The sequence below is a fragment of the Homo sapiens genome, chromosome 10 (genome assembly GCF_000001405.40).
Source record: "Homo sapiens chromosome 10, GRCh38.p14 Primary Assembly".
NCBI classification, from domain to species: domain Eukaryota; kingdom Metazoa; phylum Chordata; class Mammalia; order Primates; family Hominidae; genus Homo; species Homo sapiens.
The window spans coordinates 1149709-1174687 of record NC_000010.11 but is presented as its reverse complement, the minus strand read 5'-3'; the positions used below and the strand labels follow the sequence as shown (position 1 = coordinate 1174687).

Sequence of the window (24979 nt, the reverse complement as noted above, 5' to 3'; positions counted from 1 at the left end):
CCAAAAGAAAGCCTTTCATCAACAGAGATGAAGCCGGGAGGAGACCGAGGAAAATCATGAGCACAAATACAGAGGACCCCAGAGCAGTTGGCCTCCATCTGCTGGCCTGTGAGGATTACACATTGCTTGACAAAACCCAAAACTGAGGTGGCTGAGAACCTCTGCATGTTCCCACTGCTCAGAGCTCAGGACCACAGGAGAATGTGCCTCACACACCGAAGGAAATAACCTCATGAATCTTCATGGATGGAACATTTGGCTCGGTCAAGGAGTGGGCTTGGTATGGAGTGATGGGAAGGGGAAGCTGTGTGGAGTCAGGGGGCTGGAGTAGAGTGGTAGGGAGAGGACCACGAGCACACAGCTCTGTCCTGAGGACATGGCCCCTCCCTAGACCACATTCACCCATCTCTGTCCTGAGGACGTGGCCCCTCCATAGACCACATTCACCCATCTCTGTCCTGAGGACGTGGCCCCTCCATAGACCATGAGCACACAGCTCTGTCTTGAGGGCGTGGCCCCTTTGTAGACCAGGAGCACACAGCTCTGTCCTGAGGATGTGGTCTCTCCATAGACCACATACACCCATCTCTGTCCTGAAGACATGGCTTCTCCATAGACCATGAGCCCACAGCTCTATCCCTGAGGTACGAGATGGTTGCTTGAGAAGCCAAGCACAGGGAAAAGTGATTGTCCACATTCTCATCCACAGCCCCTAAGCATTGCGGGCCCCCAGCACTCCTCTCTGGACAGTGAAAGAGACAACCTCATGGTCAGCTCGGTAGGAGCTTTTTATCCTTTCAGTATTTAGTCAATATCAAAAATATCAGGGCCTGGGGTGGTGGCTCACACCTGCAATCCCAACACTTTGGGTGGCCAAGGTGGGAGGATCACTTGAGGCCAGGAGTTTGAGGCCAGCCTGAGCAACACAGCAAGACTGCATCTCTACAAAAGAAAACTACAAAAATTAGCCAGGTGTGGTGGTAGCAGCCTGTGGTCTCAGCTACTCAGGAGGTTGAGGTGGGAGGATCACTTGGGCCTGGGAGGATTGCTTGGGCCTGGGAGGCTGAAGCTGCAGTGAGCTGTGATCATGCTACTGCACTCCAGCCTGGGCAATGGAGTGAGACCTTGAGACCTTGCGTCTCCATAAAACAAACGAACAAACAAACCCCAGCTGTCGTCACACTCTGAACACCACCTGTGCGTGTGCGCCGCTGAGGACGGCGGGTGGAGCGCATGCCCTGTGTTCACGCGCACCTATGACTGCTGAGACCCGGGATGCTACCTCCACCAGTGCTTCATTTCATCTTATTCAGATGAACACAGCAGGGACCCACTCACGGGTTGGGAACGGGCTCGATTCTGTGCCTGGACACAAAGTTAGCACCGCAGCAAGCACGTGTTCCACCTGCGAGCGGCTCCCGTGCGGTTCTACAGGGGTGCTGCGCCCCGGCGGGTCCTGCACACACTGCTCCAGCGACACGTTCTGTTCTCCAGGCCCCTGCACACAGCCAGTCCATGTCGAAGCTTCTGCGTCCTGCCCCGTGCCCTCTGATGGAGGAGGAATTAAACAGGGCTCGAGGGCACATGGGCATCTAAGAGTCACAGCACCCGGTGCAATGCAACTGCTCCCAGTCGACCTGCCACTCGTGCCCACAGGCTCAGGGCCTGGGACTCAGGGCCCCACGTCACCCTAGGGCTGCCCAGCCCTCCCGATCCCTCCAGCACCTCACACAAACCTCCTGGCCTCCCTTGGCAGCTAACTCCACACCAGATCATTTTTCAAAAGAATGTAAAGTAGATTCAGAAATTCCTTGCCAGGCCTGGCCAAGCATGACCTAGGGTCTCACAGGTGTGGGGGGAGGCCGGAGAGGGAGGAGCAGATATGCACAAGGCTGAAGCTGATCACCAGAGGCCCCGGGAGCTGCTTTTTCTCACTCAACCAACACAAGCCAAATCTCTCATGCAATTTCATGAAGCCAAATACAGGTACTTTATGTAGCTTGAAAGGAGTTTAGTTGAACATCTATTAAGCACCTACTACCTACGAGGCACTGTGCTAGTGGCTGAGGGAACGAAAGGACAAGGCCAGGCTGCCCCGTAGCTCACTCTCTGGTGCAGAAAACAGGCGAGGAGAGCCCAAGAGGCTGGAGGGGAGCTGCTCCCTCTGCCGCTGTGTGCAGTGAGTTCTGTGTGGTTAACAGCTCTTACTGCAGAATGGAGAAAACGGGAGCTGCGCACTGTCACTGAGAGGACACAGCCTGTAAATCAGCGTCCCGGGGGCCTGGCATGCTAGGCTTAGTCATACATATAAAAAAACAACCAACACATCACAAGATGCCAAGATTTTATGGAATAACCAAGAATAGCGTGACCAATGTCGCCTTATGAGAAGCTGAGGATGATGCTGCAGAAGCCTCTTCCTGAAGACGCACCCTCGTCACAGCAAAACTTCGACTACGTTCTTCCCTGTCAGCATGTTCTGACATTTCAAAATAGTGATCAATTCCCCGAAGTCTACGATTTCTGAGCAGACTTAGTAGCCACAGGCCCCATCTCCTTCACACTCACGTTTCAGAATCCAATGCCCAGATGTCATCGATGTTTGCCTCAAAGGAATCAGCGTGGGATGTGGGAGGCTGGGTGGGGACCAGATCAAAGGACACGGCCCAGAGATGACGGCACTGGGGCTCATTCTGTCCTACTTTGCAGGTGTTTGAACATTTCCATAATGAGATGTTTAAGAAGAAAAGGAAAGGAAAATGACCACTATTACTGTCCCTGAGAAGGAAAAATAAGTATTTATCCCTTTTCTTCTTTCTTGTAAAGGGAAGATCCCAGGCAGGCTCTCGCCACTGGTGGGGCAGTCAGCAGTGTGGACACGGATGTCTGGGCCGGGGGACAGCGCATGGCTCCGCATGAGAGGAAAGGGAAGAGACCCCAGAGATGCAACGGTGGGCTGGTGGGTCTCAGACAGAGGGGAGCAGGAGGGCATGAGGGATCCCACGGGGTAGGGGCCACTGCTCTTCCGAGGGCAACAGCCTGGGATAGAGGAGCTGATGGTGTCCTGGGCTAGTGTGGGTTATGTCCTGTCTCTGTGCCCGCCAGGGGCCTCCTTCCAATGCTGCTCCTGCCTGAGCATTTCCAGTCAGAACTCTGTGGGGAGTGTGTACTCACGAGTGTGCATGTGTGTGCTTTGCACATGTGTACACGTGTTGCATTGTGTGCATGTGTATGCATGTGTGTGAGCATATGATGTGTGTGCATTGGACATGTGTGTGCATGTGTGTGCTTTGCACTCATGGACATGTGCTGTGCATGTGTTCTGTGCATGTGTGTGTTGTGTGCACAGGTATTGTGTGTATGCATGTGTATGTGTGTGCTGTGTGCATGTGTGTGCATGTGTGTGCCGTGTTGCACATGCATGCATGTGTACGTCTGTGTGCATATGTGTGTGTGTGCTAGATTTAGCACACAAGAGGCTCAGAAGGGAGCAGGGGCAGGAGCTGTGTGATCAGGCGTGGGTACCAGCCCCTTCCGTGCCAGCCTCCTGGACATCCCCTGGGCGGTTGCTCTCCAGGCTCTGAGTGCTCTTTGGTCTTCAGGCCTCTCCTGCCCACTCAGCCCTCCGTGCGCGGGTGATGCCCAGATCTGGGCCTTTCATCAACTTCCCTGAACCCTTGTCATGGCTTCCTGAGGGCGGCTTGATCACCACTCCTTGATCACCACTCGCGTGTGCTTGCCCATCCCTCCAGGGCCCTCCTAACCCTGGCCTCCATCGGCCCTGGCCCTGCTCGTTTTTCTTGGCGATGCCCCCGAATGGTGTCCCCTACAGCACACAGATGTGCACAAGGGGACACACCACCTCGCCATGCCTGGTGGCTTCCCACGTTAAGACTTTTATGCTGAGCATGAGTTTTTTGCAAGTGAAGACGTTGGTGCCTCCTCCCTGTCTCCTGGAACTCCCAGCCCCGCATGCAGCCAGCTCTGTGTGGAGGGGAGAGGGCTTTGGAATGAGAGAGCTCTGCCACTTTCTGGCTGTCATTTCAGAAAAGCATTAGACTCCCTCAAGTTTGCTAGTTCATCTGTGGATAATGGCAGCCCCAATGGTGCCTGCCACCTGGACGTGTCGTGAGGCAAGAGACCTCAGGGCCCTGCACTTTTGGGGAAGGGGCGAGCTTGGCCGCCGAGGGAGGAGTGCAGGCATCAAACTCGACTCCTCCTGGGAGTCCCTTGCTGCTGGCTCAGGATGAAACAGAAGATTCGAACTCTGCTGCTCTCTTCTGGAGCTGCCGGAAGCTGCCTGGTTCACGTGGACATTATGTATCATTAAATAAAAGACAGCGAAGATCATGGCTTCTCATACAAGCCAATAAATTTCGGTGGATAGAATTCCCCAAAATAGAATGTGCACTTGGACACCCTGAGCCAATCTCGGCATTGCTGGTGTGAGCCGTCCTCACACAGCTCAGAGGCCAAGGACAGGGGCATGGCTGCTGCTTACGGGCAGTGAACAACCCACCCTGACCAGCCAAGGGGCGGCTCTGGGGCCCCAGCTCAATTCCAGGTGTCATCGGAGAGTGGGGGTGTAAGAGGGGCAGGAATTCCTCAGCAAAGCACATTTAGCCAAGTGTTCTCTCCGTTTGGGGAACCATTTCAGCTGCTTTAGCAGACGATGAAACAGCAGTGGCTTAGACAACACAAGAAAACACGACACCCCCATGGAAATGCCGGACACGTCCCTGGAGCTGTGGGACATACATGGTCTCGGAAGCCCCCTCTTCCCACTCAGGTGCTTACTCAGCCTCCCAAGGTTGTGCTGGGAGTACATCAGGGCATGGGGCTGTGGTGGTGAAGGTGGGAGAGGGGCACGGGGCTGTGGTGGTGAAGGCGGGAGAGGGGCATGGGGCTGTGGTGGTGAAGGCACTGGGGGGGTGTGGGGTGGCCACTGTAGGGCGTGGCCAGGTACCGAGGGCTGCTCAGCTGCATCCAGGGAACGCCTCCCCCCGCACCCCACCATGGGTCACTCAAGACTCGAATCTGCACAACTTTCTTTCCCCTGCTGCCCTGGCCCTTCCGAGCCGGGAGATGTGATTTGCCTCGTAAAAAGTAAGCCTTCAAATTCTATTCTTGGGGCTCATGAATGAACGAGGAAAGCACTACAAAGCCAAAAGGAAAGGAAGGTGCATCGGTTCCTCCTGCAACACAAACTTCTAGCGGCCCCACGAGGCGCTATGGGCTTCAAAGGAAGTCATACCAGGGAGCCCTCGGTAAGCTGCCCGGATACAGGCACAGCCCAGCCTGCAGCCCACAGCCCACAGGGGAGGCTGAGGACATGCCAAGGCCACCCGTGCACACCTCCACCCCCGCTGGGACCCTGTGAGCCAGCCCTGTGCCCGGCGGGAACCTAACTCACTGGGTCCTGGCATTATGGTGCACGTAAGCCACGCAGCAGATGAAGATACTTAAAACTACTGGGTGTCAGAACATGCCACACCTTTCTAATCATATCCAATGACACCTCTTATTAGTTTAATTAAAACTGAATGCTTAATTTGGCCATACGGAGACAGAACACAGCAAGTTGTACCTAAAAGCACTCATTAGCGCCTGGACAGTGCGATCCTCTGGGAGGTGCTGCTGGCGGTGGGATTCTTACAGCCGTGTGGAGAAAAGTCGGCCTGGATGTGCAGCCTAGCCCCACCACCTGGCCAACTAATACCTCCAATGTGCTTTCCTGTCTATCAGGTAAGAACAGCAGCAGCTCAGGCCGGGTGCAGTGGCTCACACCTGTAATCCCAGAACTTTGGGAGACCGAGGCGGGTGGATCACCTGAGGTCGGAAGTTCGAGAACAGCCTGGCCAACACGGTGCAACCCCGTCTCCACTAAAAATACAAAATTAGCCAGGTGTGGTGGCACCTGTAATCCCAGCTACTTGGGAGACTGAGGCAGGAGAATCGCTTGAACCCAGGAGGTAGAGGTTGCAGTGAGCTCAGATTGCGCCATTTTACTGCAGCCTGGGCAATAAGAGAGAAACTCCTTCTCAAAAAAAAAAAAATACAGCAGCTCTCATGCAGGGTTTTTGGAAGACTAGAAATAAAGTGTGTAAAATATCTGATATGTAATAGTCACTAATAAATAATGGTTGTTATGATTGGCTAATAGAGTGTCAATAACTCTTCATTGATAGTGGTGTGGATAAAGGAGAAGCCCTTATTTCAAAGGAATCAAAACATACCACAACACAATTTGACATAATTTTATACATGGTTATCCCACCTGTAGACAGTAATCTACCTGAAAGCAGGGGAGATATTTGTCTCAGGGATTCAATCTGTAATTTTCGAATCAGTGGGCCTACCCTTTGTCTGTATCACCATATTCTATCGTATGCTTCTTGAGTGAAAAGATTTTTTTAATTATCTTTTCTTCTTAAAGGATTAAAAAACCTGAGAATATCAATTGTGCCCTTCCTGGTTTAGCAGTATTAATAAGGTAAGGTGTCTATGACAGTAGATTATTATCAACACACCCACCTCACTGTGGTCATCAGACACTTGCAGAGGAAGTACCTGCCTGGAGACACATCTGTGGTCTCGGCCAGAGAACCAGAGCCCCACCATCAAGAGACTTACGCGCGTGTGCCCCCCACCAGGAAATCCTAACGGACCAAATATCTAAAAGCACAGAGTTTCGGAACTAAACTCTAATCTAGTGCAACTTCATTGTTGGTTTAATAAGGGGGTGAATTTTTTACTATCAGAAGGAACTTTTCCTTGACCGTTTCATACCATTTTTCTTAGGGTACGTGAATGCATTTAAGACAACATTTTGTTTCCTCTCATGGCAAATATAAACCTTATATTATGAAGTTTTCTAGTGTATGAAGTGAAGCTTATTTGTGTTTTCAATAGACCAATGACTGCTAGAAAAATTTCTATCCTAAGAAAACAGAAAAACCAATCAAACTCGGGAGAAATCTCCTTGCCCACAGAGATTACAGAGCAATTCTTTTGTGACCCTAAAGAGAAATATATAGCACAGGTGAGGTGCTCAATGACACACAGGCATTGAGGAGTGAGGGGTGAGTGATCACAGTGCATGTCTGAGATGGAATTTCATCTCACGTTGTATCAGAGCCGTTCATGACAGAGGAAAGCGTCAGGCCACGCGGTGTGGTGGGAAAACGGGACGGTGGAATGTACTCCATGGAAAGAAACAGTTATCGGTGTCTCTCTCTGAGTGAGAGGCTTGTGGACGACGTTTCTATAATACATTTCACATTTACAATTAGGAAAAATCATTATTTTCAAAATACCGATGCCAATTGAATTAAGTCACAGGAGTGACGGAGCCTAAGATTCTACTGCGGCGCAATGGCCAAGAGGCTAGCGCAGACACTTTCTTCAAGATGAAGGGAGTTCTCTTTGAAGATACTTTTTCTCTCCTGCTCAGGGGTCTTTTTAAGCTCCTTTCACTTGGAAGGACAAGTATATCCCCAAAGTTGTCCCAGAAATGGCTCCTGCTGCTGCCGTGGGTGCCGGACCTGGTGTGGCCACTTCTGATTCTGGGTTTTGCGGGAGAGGCCTGCCGGGACGTCACCTCTCCAGGCTCCTCCCTGGGTCAAAGATTCAGATAGAGGGTTTCCCGGTGTTCCAGCTGGCACGGAGCCTCCTGAGCACTGGCCCAGTGAGCACCTCGACCCCCTGAAGTCAGGGTGGCTGGAGGGCCAGTCCCAGGGGTTTCAGTCAAGTCCCAGCTCAAGGAAGCCACCGGGGATCATGAGCTGCTGAGCAGGAAGAGAGCAGTCAGCTTAGAGGCTCTCAGGGAAGAGGCCAGGAGCCCTTCCTTAGGTCTGAATTGTCCAGGCGGCCACCCCATCCTTGGCCTCTGGGAGCTCCTGATAGTCAGGGAAACGTGACATGGGAGCCGTGCATCACATCGAGGGAAGCCAGCCCCAGCCTGAGCCTGACCATCTGGCTCCAGCCGTGACCTCCGAGAAGACACTTTCTTAGTTCATCTTTGTCTGAAAATGAGGCCTCTACACCTACAGGTTACATGAAATGTGTGACGTGGGCAGCAAAGTCCTGGCAGGTGGTGAAAAACCCAATAAATACCTGTGAGATGAGCAGCCACCGTCCCACGGCCCCTGGAGAGAGGAACGCAGCCCCTCAGGAGCCCCCTCAATCTGAGCATCCAGCATGGGGCTCAGCTTCCCACTATGGCTGCACCATCTCCACCCTTTGAGCCTCTGAAATGGGTCTCCTGGCTGAAGTCAGGGTGGCTGGTGGCCTGCCTCCCCTCCTCCCCTCTCCCAGGACCCGCCATTCCCGCTGTCTTCTCAGCCAGCAAGGTCCTTGCACCCTGCTCTCCCGTGCACCCCCAGTGCTCGTCCTGCACCCCTGGTCCTCCCGCTGCTCCCCTGGTCCTCTCCCTCCTCACCCCTATCCTCCCCCTGCTCCCCCCAGGTGAGCTGTGGGGCTTCTGTTCCAGGCCAATTCTTTCAGTGATGCTCCCTGGGCTGTCCCAGGTTCCTTCCTGTGGACCTTGTAAGTTCTTTGAAGCTGCCAGGTGCCAGGCTCCCAGACAACAGGACCCAGTGCATCATGCTAATATACAATACATAGTGCCTGCTATTTACAATGTAATCTTAATGTATGGCACACAGCACCTACTACATAATGCATAGTGCTTCCCATATGACCTTGGCATACAATCTTCACAAAACAGACTGAGCACCTCCTACATATTCCATAGTGCTTCCTATATGACCTTAGCATCCAATCTTCACAAAAGAGACTGGAGAGGAAAATCAGTTGCGGTCCTAACACTGCCTCTTTCTCACTGTGCCTGCCTTGGTCAAGGCACCTGACCTTCCTGGGCTACAGTTTGCCCTTCTGAAAATGGCATGTGTACTGGAGGACTTATCTCTCACAGACCTAAAGTTCTATAGCTCTCTACAGCCACTCAGGAAAACAGCAGAGAGGTTCCTCAAAAAAACACAAATAGAACTACCATGGGACTCAGCAACCCATTGCTGGGTAAAGACCCAGGTGACAGGAAATCCATGGGTTGAGGAGACATCGGCACCCCCACACTTATCGCAGCACTGTTCATAATCACCAAGGTATGGAATCGCCCTTGGTGCCCAACAACGGAGAATGAATAAAGAAAATGTGGTGTAGATACACAATGGAATACCATTCTCCCATGAAAAAAATGATATCCCAGCATCTGTGACAATATGGATGAGCTTGGACATCATGTTAAGCGAAATAAGCCAGGTACAGAGAAACAGGTACTGAGCGATCTCATATGGAGCTCTTGTATGGATTTCTTGTATGTGAAATCCAAAAATAACACAAAATTTTAAGTTGATCTCCTAGGAGCAGAGAGTAAACAGTGGTTATGGAAGCTTGGGAGGGGAGGATGAGGACAGGGGATGAGGAGAGATTGTTCTACTGCACAATAGGCTGACTTTGGTTAACAATAAAATAGCATATATGACAAGATAGCGAGATGAGAGGCTTCTGAGTGTTCTCACCACAAAGAAATGATACACGCATGGGGCGATGCATGATGACACATGCATGATACACAGTGATACATGCACAATGATGCATAATGATACATGATGATGGTACATGCATGATACATGCATGAGGTGATACATAATACATGCATGAGGTGATGATACATGCACAATGATGCCTAATGATGCATGATGATGGTACATGCACAATACATGCATGGTGATACATGATAATACACGCATGAGGTGACACATTATAATATATGCATGAGGTGATTAATGATACAGACATGATGATGCACAATGATGCATGATGATGGTACATGCACAATACATGCATGGTGATACATGATAAAACACGCATGAGGTGACACATTATAATATATGCATGAGGTGATTAATGATACAGGCATGATGATGCACAATGATGCATGATGATGGCACATGCACAATACATGCATGGTGATACATGATAATACACGCATGAGGTGATACATTATAATATATGCATGAGGTGATACATAATGATACAGGCATGATGATGCACAATGATGCATGATGATGGTACATGCATGATACATGATGATGCACGATGATACACATAATGATCCACCCTTGAGGAAATGGGCACACACACTACCCTGATTGGATCATTACACAACACAGATATGCATGGAAACAACAAATCGTACCCCATAAACATGTACAGTGTGTCCATTAAAAGTTAAATACATCAACTTTTTAAGTCTTCTGCAGCCTAGCTCTGTCTCATTTGTCTTTTAAGCTTTTCATGCACCTGGTACTCTTATTCTGTCATTCATGGCACCCAATGCAGTGCTCTGTGCATAGATGGTTTACCACATGTAGTAAGAGTAAATGAAAATAAATTTCATGCTTTCTTGCTACTTACCTTACACTAAAAAGTATCAGGTACTTGACTGTGTACTCGGCACTTGCCACTCACTTTTCATTACTGTTTTTAATCCTCACAACTTTAAGGAATGGGTATTTTTGGCCTCACACAATAAATGAGGAAACAGCATTAAAGAGCTTAAGCAACTTGCCCGATACATCAAAGCTACACGGTTGGAGCTCTTAATCTCCACCCAGATGGCTTTCAGCTGCTCTCCAGAAAACTGAGAATGTGGGGAGACAGGCGGGTTTCTCTAACACGAAGCTCTTCTGTTTATCTGGTGAGAATCTATGGTTCTCCCACAAGGGCTCTGACAAAGTTTCTTGGACCCAAAAGATACTGACTGCATTTCCCAGTTCCTGGGAATCTAAGATCTAGAAGTCATAGAAAGAGATGATTTTGGGGCCTCTGGTCAACATCAAGGCACCTGCTGAGGTGTGAAATGTGAGCACTGTGCCCTGACATGGTGGGTACATGTGGAGCACACCCACTTCTGACAGCCGACTGGGGCCACAAGTGGGACCAAGAAAATGTGCGCCTATCTCAACTTTGGTCCTGTGTGTGGAACACACACACACACACACAGAACTTGTGTATAAAGAACGCATCGTCTTCACAAGATGGTCATCTTGGAGAGGCAGAGCTGAGAAAGACTCCACTCCTCGGAAGCGTGGCTGGTGAAAGTCCGCCCTCATGAGCACAGTCCCTGATATCGCCTAGCGGAGGTCCGCGCTCACGAGCACAGTCCCTGATAACGCCTAGCGGAGGTCGGCGCTCACGAGCACAGTCCCTGATAACGCCTAGCGGAGGTCAGCGCTCACGAGCACAGTCACTGATAATGCCTAGCGGAGGTCTTAGAAGGGCCACGCGTGTGTCATTATCACATACTCACTGTAAGAGTTTGCGGATACTTCCCCAACGGCTTCATTTATCCAACTGTGGAAAGAGCTTGCAAGCCAGGTCATGATTGAGAACCCGCGTGGACCCAGCAGCCAGACCGCACACCCACGTGATGTGCCCTGGAAAGTGCCTGCCGTGGGTCCAGAGGGCAAGAGGTGAGGAAGTGCCACCTGTCCAGTGAAACCAACCCCACCTGTAGTGAGAGCAGCACCAGCACTTGCTGGGGCACGTTCCCTGGGATGGCGCAGCCACACCTGCGGGGCTGGAGCCTACCTTTGCTGCTGGACGCTGCTCAGCACCCAGCCCTCCTGCTTTCCTTGGGAGGCTTCCAGGCCCTTGGATGACTTGATGGGACCATTTCTTGCCACAGGAGCCAGAGGGTCCAGACGGCCCCTCCCCAATGACACAGTGAGAAGGGAGGTGGCATGTGAATGAACCCTGACCTCTGAGATGCTCACTCCTGAAACTGTGACTCTTGAGATAAGGACACAAGGAAATGCCCTGCTAACTGCTTCTGCCCAGCCGTCTCCAGCATAGCAGCCCAGCTCGTCACCTCGGAAAGTGCCTTAGCTCTCTGCTGTCAGCCCACATTGCTGCAGCTCCCAGGCCCTGATATCCTAACAGCACGTTCCCTTTGGTAATTGGCCAGCAGCTTCTGCTGTTTGCATCTAGAAACCCCAAATGACAAAACGGCTCACAGCCTGTTCAAGACAGAGGGCAACGCCACACCTCTAGGAAGCCACCCCTCCAGGCGGAAGGTTTTCCATGCAGAGCTGTGTTATATGTGCAGTCTTCTCCCTGTAACAGAATAGACTTTGAAAGTAAGAACCAGTGTGAATGGAATCGATGCTGGACAGCACAGTCGCAGACTGTGGACCCCACAAATCCTCACATGTGGCATGAGACAAACAGCAGTCCCCAAAACTGTGGGGAAGCTTTCCTTTCAGAAAAACTGGAACAAGCAAAATCACTCTGGAACAAAATGTCACTGGCACAAAGTACACCCAGAGTCCGTGCAGGACAGCCTCCTCTGTCCACACACATTCTCTCTTTATGTTAGTATCAAAACTGCTAGAAAAATGAATATGGGCTCATTCAAAGCCATTAGCTCCCATACAACACAGATGTCTCCATAGCGAGACTGGTGTGTCCATGTTGAATTTCCCCATGTGTGACTCCATCACCGTTCATCAAAGCAATGTGTCACGGTCCCCGTGCCCTTAAGAAAGCATGTCCCTTCTGTAATGTGTGTTTCTATTTCACCTCTCCCGTCTGCTCAGGGACTGAACTGCCGTGAGAAATGAGAATGCTACTCCTGCTGCACCTGCAAGCACATATTATCCCGCAGAACCCAAAACTCTCCAGGAAACACAAAACAAAACAAGACTCCCAACTCTTTCCCTCCAGCCACCTCCACCCCCAGAATTCACTGCAGCCAACACAATGCCAGGCTTCAAAATGGGGCTGTGGGATGTTTGTCTAATTGTCTCCGAAATACTCGCATAGAAGCAAGGCTCCCGCAGTGGCTCACGCCTGTAATCCCAGCACTTTGGGAGGCCAAGGCGGGTGGATCACGAGGTCAAGAGATCGAGACCATCCTGGCCAACATGGTGAAACCCCATCTCTACTAAAAATGCAAAAATCAGCCAGGCATGGTGGCGGGCGCCTGTAGTCCCAGCTACTCGGGAGGCTGAGGCAGGAGAATCACTTGAATCCAGGAGGTGGAGGTTGCAGTGAGCCAAGATCACACCACTGCACTCCAGCCTGGTGACAGAGTGAGACTCCGTCAAAAAAAAAAAAAAAAGAACCAAGGCTCTAGCATTTTCTAATTTTAGGAACCATGAACCATCAGGTGCCGCCAAAGTTGAGGAGGCGTTTTTCTAAATGCAAATCTTCACAGTTTCTTCTGCCAGAGGCACAGAGAGGGCTCACTGGATTTTCTGTTCTACCTCAAAGCCATTGCACGTTTTTTCTTATTTCTTGTTATTTAATTTTTTTTTAAACAAGCCAACCAACTAAAATAACAAATTGATTTTCATTCAGGCAGCTCCCAGAACATAACTGGCTGGACCCCAGTAACGTCGCACACTGTGGAACATCAGGGCCCTCATCTTTAAAGATGTGGCTTGAGGTTTGCAGGCCTTATCGCTCATTAGCTATCCAGCCAGATGCAACTGCTCTGGAAGCAAGTAGCCCAGATAGACAGGACCTTCTGGAAATGAGCCTTCAGAGGCTGAAAAGCGTCTTGGAAGAGCAGCCCACTCTCCACCCAGCTGGCAGCTAAGTGGCTGGTAGTGTTGATTTCATTGTCTGCCTCAGCTTGGGTTCTCTCGGAAAGTCTCTGAGCCAAAGATTTGAGTGCAGGTAATTTATTAGGCACTTGCTCCCAGGCAAAAACGGTCAGGGGTGGGAGGATGAAAGGGAAGAAACCAAAAGTTGCAGAAGCATTGTCCTCGCAGCTAACATGGCCGCGTGCAAACGTGCCAGCCAGCAAGATGTTGGCATCGCCCTCTCAGCTAACATGGCTACCTGTGGAAGTGCCAGCCAGCAGGATGTCGGCATGGCCCTCGCAGCTAACATGGACACGTGCGAACGTGCCAGCCAGCAGGATGTCAGCATCCTCCTTGGAGCTGACATGGCCACGTGCGAACGTGCCAGCCAGCAGTAGTCGGCATGGTGCTGAGCACCCTCCGGGAACCGTCCCTACCTGAAATATGGGTGTGATGTACGGAGCACACGCAGCCACCCTGCAGCATGAGATGACTGTTGAGTACAGGACACGCAGAACGAAGCTGGAAAATGAAAAAAAAAAATCCTGGCTTGCTGACTTCCTGGGGCAAATACTGAGTGTTGGGAGATCATTTCCAGACTTAAATATGAGAGAGAAGTAAACCCCCCTTTTATTTCAAAGCTTAGCATGCCTATAAGTCACCTGCAGATCTTGTCAAAATGCAAGCTCTGACCAGAGAGCCCGGGCTTGTGACTTACATCATCTCCTGCTGAAATGCTGACGACACTCCAAATGGCAAGGGTTTTGGCCTCTATTATTTGGGGTTTTCTATCATTCACCATTGAAACTAATCCTCACTAATTAAAACAGTTTCACATTGGGGAGGAAAATAGTTTTTGTCTACTTTAAACTACTATGACTTAGGGTCTGTCAAAACCTCAAAAACTATATATATATATATTTCATTTCACTCGCTTTCATTTGGGACACAAATGGAGACCTGAATCACAGGTATCTTTGGAAACTGTTCTCAGCCTTCCTAGCTCAGCTGAAATGTCCTTTTCCAGGGACACTGGGCCCAGGGGGTGTGCTGGGGTCTGCGCTGGCTCCCCGGGCATTCATACCTTGGAAAGCTGCAGAGCTGACTTCAGGTTGTGCCAATTCCTGTGCTGCCTCATCCCTCATGTACATAAAGCGTGAGGCGCGCAGGCCTGCACCTGCGCCATCCCTCATCCACCTAAAGCGCGTGGCGCGCAGGCCTGCGCCGGCGCCATCCCTCATCTACGCAAAGCGTGCGACGCTCAGGCCTGTGCCTGCGTCATCCCTCATCTACGCAAAGCGTGCGACGCTCAGGCCTGCGCCGGCGCCATCCCTCATCTACGCAAAGCGTGCGACGCTCAGGCCTGTGCCTGCGTCATCCCTCATCTGCCTAAAGCCCTGCGCGCAGGCCTGTGCTTGCGCCATCCCTCATCTGCATAAAGCGTAGGGCGCGCAGGCCAGTGTGTTGGAAAACAACGCTTTGATGTTGTCTCCTGGATTTTCACAGCCTCCCTCTCACAGGAGAACAGGGGTGGACCCCGGCCTCGAGCACATCTGAGCTCTCTCTCTCCTGCCTGTGCTCCTGTTGAAGACATTCAGCCTCCGACTGCCCTCGGGAGGATGGAGATGCCCAGGTGCCGAGGCCAGAGCCCATGCGCAAAGCGAGGGCTGAGACCACGGAGGCCCCTTGTCTCCTCCAGCGGGTTCCTGAAGCCACGTCCCTGCTTGTGGAGGAAGAAAGCCGAACTGCAGCTCAGGGAGAGGTGGGCTTGCTGGCCTCGCTGGCGGCATCCGAATGCCTGGAGCCTCATGGTGGGTTCTGCTATTGCTGCCAGCAGCTGGATGTTTCGAAATTCGCCCGCTTTGGAATGATACAGTGAGACCTTGGCGGCCGCGCTGCCTGAGACGATGCTCTTACGTCTGCAGGGGAGGTTTCAAGGCCTGCTGGAGTCAGCGGCTGCCTTGCCGCCCTGGGAGGTGAGCAGCCCGTCCCTATGCTGGCTTCCTACAGGATGCAACCTGCATTTTCACCCCAGACAGACGCAGTCTTGGCCATCTGCTTGCCAGCATAGAAAATGCGTTGTTTCCCCCAAGTTTATTTTGGTTAATGGATTGAATTGGTTTTTTTAAACTGCATTGCTTTGAAACATCACTGGAGTTTTTCAGTTTTCATATTACTACATTTTTGATGTATTATCATTGAAATGCTATTTTAATGACGGTCAAAGCGGCTCCCAAGCCCTCCTTCACTGGTGAAGCACCAAGGTGCTCAAGTGAGCTCCCAGTGTACATGAGGGTGCTCTCGCTTTTGAAAAAAAGTGAAGGAGGCTGGGCGCGGTGGCTCACACCTGTAATCACAGCACTTTAGGAGGCTGAGGCAGGCGGATCACGAGGTCCGGAGCTCCAGACCAGCCTGGCCAGCATGGTGAAACCCCATCTCTATTAAAAATACAAAAATTAGCCGGGCATGGTGGCATGCACCTGTGATCCCAGCTACTCAGGAGGCTGAGGTAGGAGAATCGCTTGACCCCAGGAGGTGGAGGTTGCAATGAGCGGAGATTGTGTCATTGCACTCCAGCCTGGGCAATAGAGTGAGACTCCAAGAAAGAAAAGAAGAGAGGGGAGGAGAGGAAGGAAGGAAAAGGAAAGGAAGGGGAGGAAAAGAGAGAAAGGGAGGGAGGGAGGGAGGGAGGGAGATAAGGAAGGAAGGAAAGAAAGGAAAAAAAACGTGAAGGAAATGGAACCCTGTGGCTGTGCAGGTCACGTGGCATTGAGCGGGCCACTCTCTGTTGCCCTGGTGCGGCCCTCACGCCGCGCCAGCCAAAGGCGACCCTGCTTTCGATGACTGTTGGAGGAAACGTTAGCCACGTCCCTCATAGATTGGAAATCTGACATTTGGAAAACTGAACTCAATCATCTTTTTTTTCCCTTTTTTACTTTTCAATTCCTTCTTCCTCGGTTCTCCACTCTCAAAATTTTGCAGTCATCATTGATTCTTTCTCTCCAGAGTTCAGTTCGAGGCCAGGTTCTGCAGAATCCTGAGGTGGCATCACGAGCATCTCCTCAGTCCCTTGGCCGTGACAGCTCCTCCTCCACCCTCCATCCTGGATGAGCCGGTGAAGATGGTTCTTCCTCAGAAATAACTGCAACGCACTGGTCCCCCTCTCAAAAGCCTAGGAAGCTCCCCTATGCTTCAAAACCCAAGAGCTCTGCCTGGTTTTCTCCAAGTCTCCCCCCACCCCCAAATGGCCATTTCCTCTCCCCATGATTGCCTGCACATGTTTCAGTGAAAAAATTATGATTGGTCCCTATACAGGGGCTGTGGCAGGTGAAAAAGAAGGAGTCAGCTGTCAACCTGCAAGTCAACAGCGGCCTCTCCATACAGGGGATCTTCCATTCCTGCCTTTGAGCTTGGTAAGTCGTTCACTTCCCACACAGACCCCAGCACCTCTGCTCGCCACCCCCTACATGCCCCCTGACCCTGATCACACCCACCAGCCTCTGCCACATTTAGAGTTAGATGTCTCTCCCTGTCTCTATCTCTATTTCTTACTGTCCCTGTCTCTCTCTGTGTCTCTCCCTGTCTGTCTCCTGCCTCTCTGTCTCTCCCCACCTCTCTCTGTCCCTGTCTCTCTCTGTATCTCCCTGTCTCTCTGTCCTTCCCTACCTGCCTCTCCCTGTCCATCTCTCTCTCTGTATCTTATTATCTCACTCTGTCTCTCTGTCTTTCCTGTCGTCTCTGTCTCTCCCTATCTCTGTCTCTCCCTGCCTGTCTCTGTCTCTCTCCCTGTCTGTTTCTCTCAGGTGCACACATGCTGCACACACACACACGGGATCACTCGGGAGCTGTTCGCCTCCGTGGTGAGCGTGTCGTGATGCAAAACCCTCTCTCGAGTGTGTTTTGCTGGTAGTGACTGTCAGGGTGCTTTTGGGGTGTGTGCTGATTGCTGTGGTCACTCGAGGGCGGTGATGGGATGGGACCCTCGGCCGGCTCCAGCACCCACGCGGCCTCTTCCACCCAAGGCCGCCCCCACAACAGGGCTGTGAAGACGTGGCTGCACCCCCCAGTGCCCCTGACCTTGAGAGCAAAGTGAGAAGAGAAAGAAAAAGAGGAGCGAGAAGATGACCTCCTAGGACCCCTGCCCCAGGGAAGCCCTGTTCCTCAGATGCGCATCACAGACCCCAGGGGCCTTTTCCTCTAGAAGGTGTCCACACAAACAGCCATGGGGCCCTCTAAAGGTGGCTCCCTTCGCACAGGAGAACACTCAACCACACGGACCCACTGAGGACACACGTGTGCAGCGTGAGCATTGCCATCAGTGCTGCGTGACAGTCACCTCTTCTCCAGACCCTGCTTGGAGTCCCTGACCCGTCTCACCATCACGTGATCTCAAGTTTATTGAAGGAAATCAGATGCAGCAGCAAACATGCTTCTCAGGCTCAGAAACAAAACCCTCGCCACTGAGCTGATGAGTGTCTCTGTGCTTCTGAACAGTGTGGACAAGGTTAATGAATGAGGCCCAGGCAGGCCTGTGGGCTCCTTCAATCGGGGCATCGAAAGCCTGGGAAGTTTTAACAGAGGCTGTTGATGGGCATGTTTCAAAGCAAACAGCATCAGGGCCCTGACAGGCCAATGACAGCACCGTGCAGTGCCGGGGGGGGCCCGGGAGGCACAGCCACAGAGCCCAGCCCTGGGGACACGGGACCTGGGTGGGGGGGCAGAGCCACAGAGCCCAGCCCTGGGGACACGGGACCGAGGGGCCACAGCCACAGAGCCTAGCCTGCACTGGGGATACAGGGCCCAGGGTGCACAGCCACAGAACCCAGCCTGCCCTGGGACATGGGGCGGAGCCTGAGGGTGGCTGGGGTCAGGCAGCCCTGTCCTCGTCCCCAACACTCCACATCCCCAGGGTAGCTGGAGACCCAAGCTGATGACTCGGACGCAGGACAGGAAAGGACATAAGTGACTGACAAGCTCCAGGCCTGTCCTGACAGGATCAGAGGGGAGGCAGGAAGGGCCCTCCATGGCAGGCAGGTGGGGCGCCTCTGCAGAAACCATAGCAGGTTACAGAGAAGAATCGAAAAGAGGCCATGCGGCTGGGGGCAGAGGGGAGGGCCCCCATGAGATGAGGAGGCACTCATCGCGGGAGAGCCAATGGAGAGAGATGAAGATGCGGACGCTGCTCTGGCCATAAAACCAGGTACGCATCTCAGGGGTCTCAAGATGCTTTCTTTATTGTAGATTTTAAATCTCCAGGTGAAGGGTTGTCCATGGATCTTCCCCTGGGCACCTTCTAACGCAACAGACCGCTTGTCTGGTTCCCAAATGTCACACTGCGTGGGGATGAGATGGAATCCCACACAGTGCCTCAGGAAGAACTAGAAACTGCGAAACTCCCAAACAACCCGATAACCACGCAGCTGCTGCAGCAAAGTATGAACACAGCCAGGTGAAAGGCCCACTTCCTCCGGCTCCCCAGCCTGCACTGACACCCACTCCAAAGACAGCTCAGGCCTTCCTAGAAAAGGCAGGTCCTGACCTAGGCTAACACTTGTAGGTAAATTCTTGGATATGAACTACACGCCCTTCAACACTGATATTTCTATAAAGAGAAGGTCAAATAAAAATATAAGCAATCTTGCAAAATTTCTCAACATTTGGGGAGATCTCTTATCTCCCCTTAAATATTGCAAATTTTTTTGCAACAGAGACCATATTTTATCACTCTGATGTTTATGACAAATTGGTAGGAAGTCTAAAAATCTCATTTTAGAGACGGAAATTGAGACCCAGAGAAAGGCTTCTCCTGCTAAACAACTGTTATCTGGTTTGGAGAGAAAAAGAGAGCTAATACAGGCTAGAAAACACATTTTTAGAGAATGGTTGAAGATGAAAGAGTTATTACAAAGCCTAGCAGATGTTAACATGTTATAAGTACATAAAAGAATTTAAAGCTACAGTGATCTTTTCAAACATTATATGATTAGTTTGGTTCATATGCTGGTCATGAAAAGGAATTTATTTCAGTGTAATCTAAGATTTATACCAGCTGTGGTAGGCAGTCATAGTCCCTCAAAAACATCCTCATCCCCATCCCAGGCCCTGCAACTGCGTAACACTCCATGGTGAGGGATTAAAGCTTCAGGGAAAGGAGGTAGCTACCCAGCTGACCTTGAAATAGGGAGGCTGTCCTGGATCATCTGGGTGTACCCCATGTAACCTCAAGGGCCCTTACATGGAAGCTGGCAGAAGAGGCAGAGGGAGACTGGACAAGGGAAGGATGGGGTAGGTGGGGCCATCTGTGGCTGTGAGGATGGGAGGGACCTCCAAGGGGGTCCCGGAGGCTGGAAGGGAAATGGCATCTCCCCAGAGCTGCCAGAAGGGGCCCGGCTATCACTGAGCGGACACCGCGTCGGACTCTAACCCACAGACTGTGAAATAACAAACCTGTGTTCAGCCTCTGAGTCTGTGTTCGTGACAGCAGCCCCAGGAAACTCACACAGCAGCTTTCGCCAATAAATAGATTTTCCTATTTCTCAGAAAATTCTATAATATCCTGTATAAGTACATATTTTCCTGTACTGCTCAGGACACTGTCCTGATAAGAAGCTATCGATAGATAGAAAATCAATAGGTAGAAAAAGTTAAAATACTGGCTTTTTAACTAAAGATAATGTCTGGTGAAGGTTTGTTCTTAGAAGAGAAGTTTGCAAAGTGTTTCGTCCTGGCATCACTGGCGAGCGTCTTTGAAGATCTGCAAAGGCGCATGTTGGGCAGCCCCCCGGGAGCTTCCATTCACTTTCCCAGGGTTTCACGCCCCTGCCCTGCTCCCTGACGCTGGCAGGAAGGCCATCAGGTGCTCCGTGTGGGATGAATTGTGAGAATCCAGCGAGTGCAGGCAAGGGAGACAAATGAGAGTAACAGAGGCCGGAGGGGGACCTGGAGAGCCAGAGCCCTGGGGAAGAGAAAAGGGGAGCGATTAGAACAACGGGAAACAGATCAGCACAGAAGAGAGAAAAGACAGAACGAAGTTGTGCAGGAGGACTGAGAAGGCACCTGGAGACATGGGGAGGGAACGGCTGACTTCTTTCCAGCCAGAACTGAGGCTGGCCCTTGTCTGAGTCAGGCGGGCAGGGCCCGTGGGAGGGACAGAGACACCAGTGGGGTGGGGGTGTGCGGTGGTGTTGCCCTTTCCCACCCCAGGCCCCTACGATGTCGCCCTGCACAGGCTGCGTGGCTGTACTGAGTGTTTCCTTGAAAAACAACACGGTGCAATTTGGACTATCGCAGTTTCACTGGAAGTCTTTGAATACAAACCAAAGCCTACGTGTTTTTTTATACCTGATGTGTACATATATTCACAAAACAAAGCAATTCTTTTTTTCCCAGAAAGGCAGGAAGAAAACAAATGATCTCAAATGTGTCTTCTATGAACATTTTTGGCGGAGTTTGAACCATATTTTGTCTAGGCAGGCCTTGCACACCGGAAAGACCTCCGAGAAAACCTGTTTCTTCTCTTTCTCATGTGGTCTCTGGTTTACCAGCTAACAGAAATAACTTCAGGGGAAGAAAGAGACCATTGTCCCTTTACCTCTGGCTTCCTTAGTCAGGAATATGAGGTTTTAGAACTGTATCAAAACTGGACTGCATGATTGATTCTGCACCATTTACCAGCATTAGACTTGCCATGACTGTTAGATGTACTTGAAAGCTGTCCAGCTTCCTAGTCAATCCTTGCAGGCAACAGATGTCGGCCCTCTGGGTACTGCCAGTCAGCACAAATGCCTACTCTCAGGTTTGGAGAATCGAACTGGGGTGGTCAGGAGCTCCTGATCCATTCTCTGCCCAAGCCAACGTTTAATGTCTCCAAGTGGGTCTGTGAGCTCAGTCACTTCTCTGCAAGGCGTCAGTTATCCAGTGCAGAAGCCGTGACTGTCTACCCCTGTGTGCACGCGTGGGAGTGCGCTGACGGTGAGTGCAGGCCGGGCAGGGCTCTTCTTAAGTTGGATTCCAGGAGAGACTGAGTTAGAAAGCTTCTGCCTCTTCCTCATAGTTCTGTCTCAGAGTCATTGCTCTGTGGTTCACTTCGGTGTGCCGTGGGGCACATGTTGTCTGGCTCTGCTGGGCCGTCCAGCGTCTGAACCCCTCGGATCTGGGGAACCCCCTGCCTCCTGTGTGCCGTGGGGCACACATCCTCTCTGCTGGGCCGTCCAGCGTCTGAACCCCTCGGATCTGGGGAACCCCCTGCCTCCTGTGTGCCGTGGGGCACACATCCTCTTGCTCTGCTGGGCCGTCCTGCATCTGAACCCCTCGGATCTGGGGAACGCCCTGCCTCCTGCAAGGACATCAGATGCTCGATCCTCAGCTCCCTAAACTGAGGGCTCAGCTCTGCTAACGGCATGCTCATGACTTTTTAATCAGGAGCCATAGCTTTTAAACAACAGCAACCATGGAGAATTCTGTCTGCTTGATAAAGGACATAAAATCATGGAGTTTCTGGGTCAGGCGGCGGCAGGATACGCTGGACGCCTGCTGCTCCCGAGGACAGCTCTTGGCAGGTTCTGTGGTCAGCCGTGGAATATGGACTGAGACTGGAGCTGCTCCCGTGCAGAAGGCTCTCAGAACACTCAACCCCTTTTCCGTTCACATCTCCAGATAAAAGTTTCTGCAGTTCCAACGGTGACACCAGACTGACGCATCAAAGCCCATGGTCCACCATCAACTGTGGGTCAGGCCGGGCGCAGTGGCTCACACCTGTAATCCCAGCACTTTGGGAGGCCCAGGTGGGCAGATCACCTGAGGTCAGGAGTTCCAGACCAGCCTGGCCAACACGGTGAAACTCCGTCTCTACTAAAAATACAAAAATTAGCTGGGCCTGGTGGCAGGCGCCTGTAATCCCAGCTACTCGGGAGGGTGAGGCAGGAGAATCGCTTGAACCCAGGAGGCAGAGGTTGCAGTGAGCTGAGATTGTGCCACTGCACTCCAGCCTGGGTGACAGTGAGACCCTGTCTCAAAAAAATAAAATAAAACAAAACAAAAAATAACTGTAGGTCAATGCTGGGTGCAGTCCTGGGCCCTACTCTTAACACACGTAGAAGCTGCACAACACCCCCCGCCTGGAAGGCTCTCGTGAACAGCACTGGTACTTGAGTGAATCACCCATCAAATCTTGGAGACAGATGAGACCCAAATAGCCAGGCGCTCTCCAGAGACAGTGGCTGATGTTTCTGGCTTGTGGCTGCTATGGTAGGAAGGGCGTTGAGGTCCATGTTTAGCTGAGAAGGCTGCATGCCACACAGGTTACACACGCTCCTATCCACACTAACCCTCACTAGGTTCCTCTGTTAATGTCTAACGAGGCTGTGAACCAAACTAAAGAATGAAAGAGCCCAGAAAGTCATCTTTTTTCTAGATGAATCAGCTCAACTTGTGATTACCTGTTGAACCAGTTCAAACTAGATCCATCTTTTATTTCACTAAAACTCCTGAACCAAAACATAAGAGATATTTCAGAACCTGAAATCAACTCATTCTTTGAGGCTCTGACTTACAGGACAAGCACTGTTCTTTGCAAACAAGCCACAAGGCTGCATTCTCCGGACGAGGTGTAAATGGTGCTACCTGATGCATGATGGAGTGGCTGATAAAGGCAGTATTAATTCTTCTCTCCCCACCACACCCCTGCTCATGAGGCTTTTGGGTTCTTGACCACATTCTGGTAGTGTCCAGAGATGGCTCCCTCCATGCCACAGATGGATGTGGGAAGCCCCAGATTTACTGACTCATCCCAGGGGTTGTGGCCACACCTGGCTCACCAGGCTCCAGCGCCCGGGAGGAAATGAGGAATCGTGGAGGAACTCCGTGGACTCAGTCCCTCCGGGTCCAGGCCTTTGTGAATAACTAAGAGAGCCCAATGCTGCTCTCAGGATACAGCCTCACTGCTCTACTGGTGCTTCTCATAGAGAACATTTTGTGAAGGTAGAAAATGATGCTGCACGCCCACCTCGGCCTTCACAGACTCGGCTGGTCCACCCCATCTTCTCCTCTTCGTTCCCATCCTTCCTCACTCTGCCCTCTTCCTCTCTCCTGTGACCATCAGCCTCCATCTCTGACCCTCCCTCTAGGACACCTGGTGCTCCGGGGCCTCTTCTCCAGGGCTCCCTCTTGTCTCATAGACCTTTGCAAATTTCACCACAAAGTGCCCAGGCCCACCTCAGCGCTCCACTTGTCACATGTGGATCCGTTGGCCCTCCATGCTCAGCAGCACACGCACCCAGACGTCCGCACGCACACTCGCTCAAGCCTGGGCGTCTGTCCGTCACGCCCCTCTGCCCTGGGCTGAGGCAGATACTGGATTGACTATTTCCGTGAATCACAACCACACCATCAAAGCGGGGGCAGGGGCTTCTGCAGCTGGAGCAGAGAACAGGGCCAAGGGTGCCTCTGTCGTTTGTGGGCACATGTGTGCACTCACACGTGTGCATGTATGTGTGTGGTGTGTGGATACCTCTGTGCATGCTCATATGCATGTATATCTGTGGTGTGTGTGCTCACATGTGCACGCTCACATGGTTGTATTGTGTGGTGCATGTGTGCGTATGTGCATTTTGTGTGGTGCATGTGCACGTGTGTGCTCGTGTGTGCTCGTGTGTGTGCATGTGTACACGTGTGTGATGGAGGGAAGTCAGGAGGGGGCCACCTGTCTGAGGATGGATCAGGAGGGAAGCATCCCTGGGAAGGGAGCCTGAGGACAAAGCCAACCATGATCCAGTGGCCTGTGCCCCCGGTGTGCGCCGCCCAGCAGCTCTCGTCCCAGCTTGTCCAGGACGCACAGGCTCCTGAGTGGCAAGAAAGCCTCTCCTGTCAGCGGAATCCATGGTGGCAGAAGAGGCAGAGGTTGTTGGGAACTGTCCCTCTCTCTTATCTCTCCCCCTCCACAAAGAGGGACCGTGGAGCCACTCAATCTAACAGCAGATCAGGTTCCTACCATGCGCTGATTTGCAGAAAGGACTAATGTGCAGATTAAAACGGACACTGCTGAGCGAAGCAATTTCCACCCTGTGATATTTGAAAGTGCTGATAACTGCCATAGCAACCCGCTCACCACACTTCAGCTTCCTCTGGCCCCGGTCTTCACAGCTGCTGGCTGTGGCTGCAAGGTTAAGATGACGTTAGCTTTCTAAGGCTAGAGAGACTGTGCCTAGGACGCGCCATGGGAATGTAATGGTTCTAACTGTGAGGTTATATGGTGGAAGAGAGGCTACTGACAATGTATAATATGGTGGAAGAGAGGCTACTGACAATGTATAATATGGTGGAAGACAGGTTACTGACAATGTATAAGCTGAATAATTGTAGTTGCTGCT

General features: G+C 51.6%; 2 long non-coding RNA genes across 5 annotated transcripts, besides 5 other annotated features; one reads left to right on the top strand and one right to left on the bottom strand.

The window, feature by feature from the left end:
- Positions 1020–1522: an enhancer, noted in NCBI's record as "H3K4me1 hESC enhancer chr10:1219106-1219608 (GRCh37/hg19 assembly coordinates)". NCBI's record gives its function as "activates a minimal SCP1, AML or CMV promoter by ChIP-STARR-seq in naive and primed H9 embryonic stem cells {active_cell/tissue: H9 hESC(naive and primed)}" and the evidence as "EXISTENCE:reporter gene assay evidence [ECO:0000049][PMID:30033119]".
- On the bottom strand, positions 10016–14920 carry LINC00200 (long intergenic non-protein coding RNA 200). Its single transcript, NR_015376.2, has 3 exons — positions 14698–14920; positions 14051–14135; positions 10016–12141 (listed from the first exon to the last, which is right to left on the bottom strand). It is a non-coding gene; the product is annotated as a long intergenic non-protein coding RNA 200 (long non-coding RNA).
- A 5-nt stretch (positions 14921–14925) lies between these two features.
- On the top strand, positions 14926–19259 carry LOC105376344 (uncharacterized). Of its 4 annotated transcripts, none has more exons than XR_930535.3 (3): positions 14926–15424; positions 16620–17026; positions 17636–19259. It is a non-coding gene; the product is annotated as an uncharacterized LOC105376344 (long non-coding RNA). The 4 variants fall into 4 exon arrangements; XR_930533.3 differs by having other exon boundaries at positions 14926–15589; positions 17870–19259; XR_930532.3 differs by having other exon boundaries at positions 14926–15589.
- Positions 17994–18884: an enhancer, noted in NCBI's record as "H3K4me1 hESC enhancer chr10:1201744-1202634 (GRCh37/hg19 assembly coordinates)". NCBI's record gives its function as "activates a minimal SCP1, AML or CMV promoter by ChIP-STARR-seq in primed H9 embryonic stem cells {active_cell/tissue: H9 hESC(primed)}" and the evidence as "EXISTENCE:reporter gene assay evidence [ECO:0000049][PMID:30033119]".
- Positions 20124–20623: an enhancer, noted in NCBI's record as "H3K4me1 hESC enhancer chr10:1200005-1200504 (GRCh37/hg19 assembly coordinates)". NCBI's record gives its function as "activates a minimal SCP1, AML or CMV promoter by ChIP-STARR-seq in primed H9 embryonic stem cells {active_cell/tissue: H9 hESC(primed)}" and the evidence as "EXISTENCE:reporter gene assay evidence [ECO:0000049][PMID:30033119]".
- Positions 20624–21125: an enhancer, noted in NCBI's record as "H3K4me1 hESC enhancer chr10:1199503-1200004 (GRCh37/hg19 assembly coordinates)". NCBI's record gives its function as "activates a minimal SCP1, AML or CMV promoter by ChIP-STARR-seq in primed H9 embryonic stem cells {active_cell/tissue: H9 hESC(primed)}" and the evidence as "EXISTENCE:reporter gene assay evidence [ECO:0000049][PMID:30033119]".
- Positions 23642–24141: an enhancer, noted in NCBI's record as "H3K4me1 hESC enhancer chr10:1196487-1196986 (GRCh37/hg19 assembly coordinates)". NCBI's record gives its function as "activates a minimal SCP1, AML or CMV promoter by ChIP-STARR-seq in primed H9 embryonic stem cells {active_cell/tissue: H9 hESC(primed)}" and the evidence as "EXISTENCE:reporter gene assay evidence [ECO:0000049][PMID:30033119]".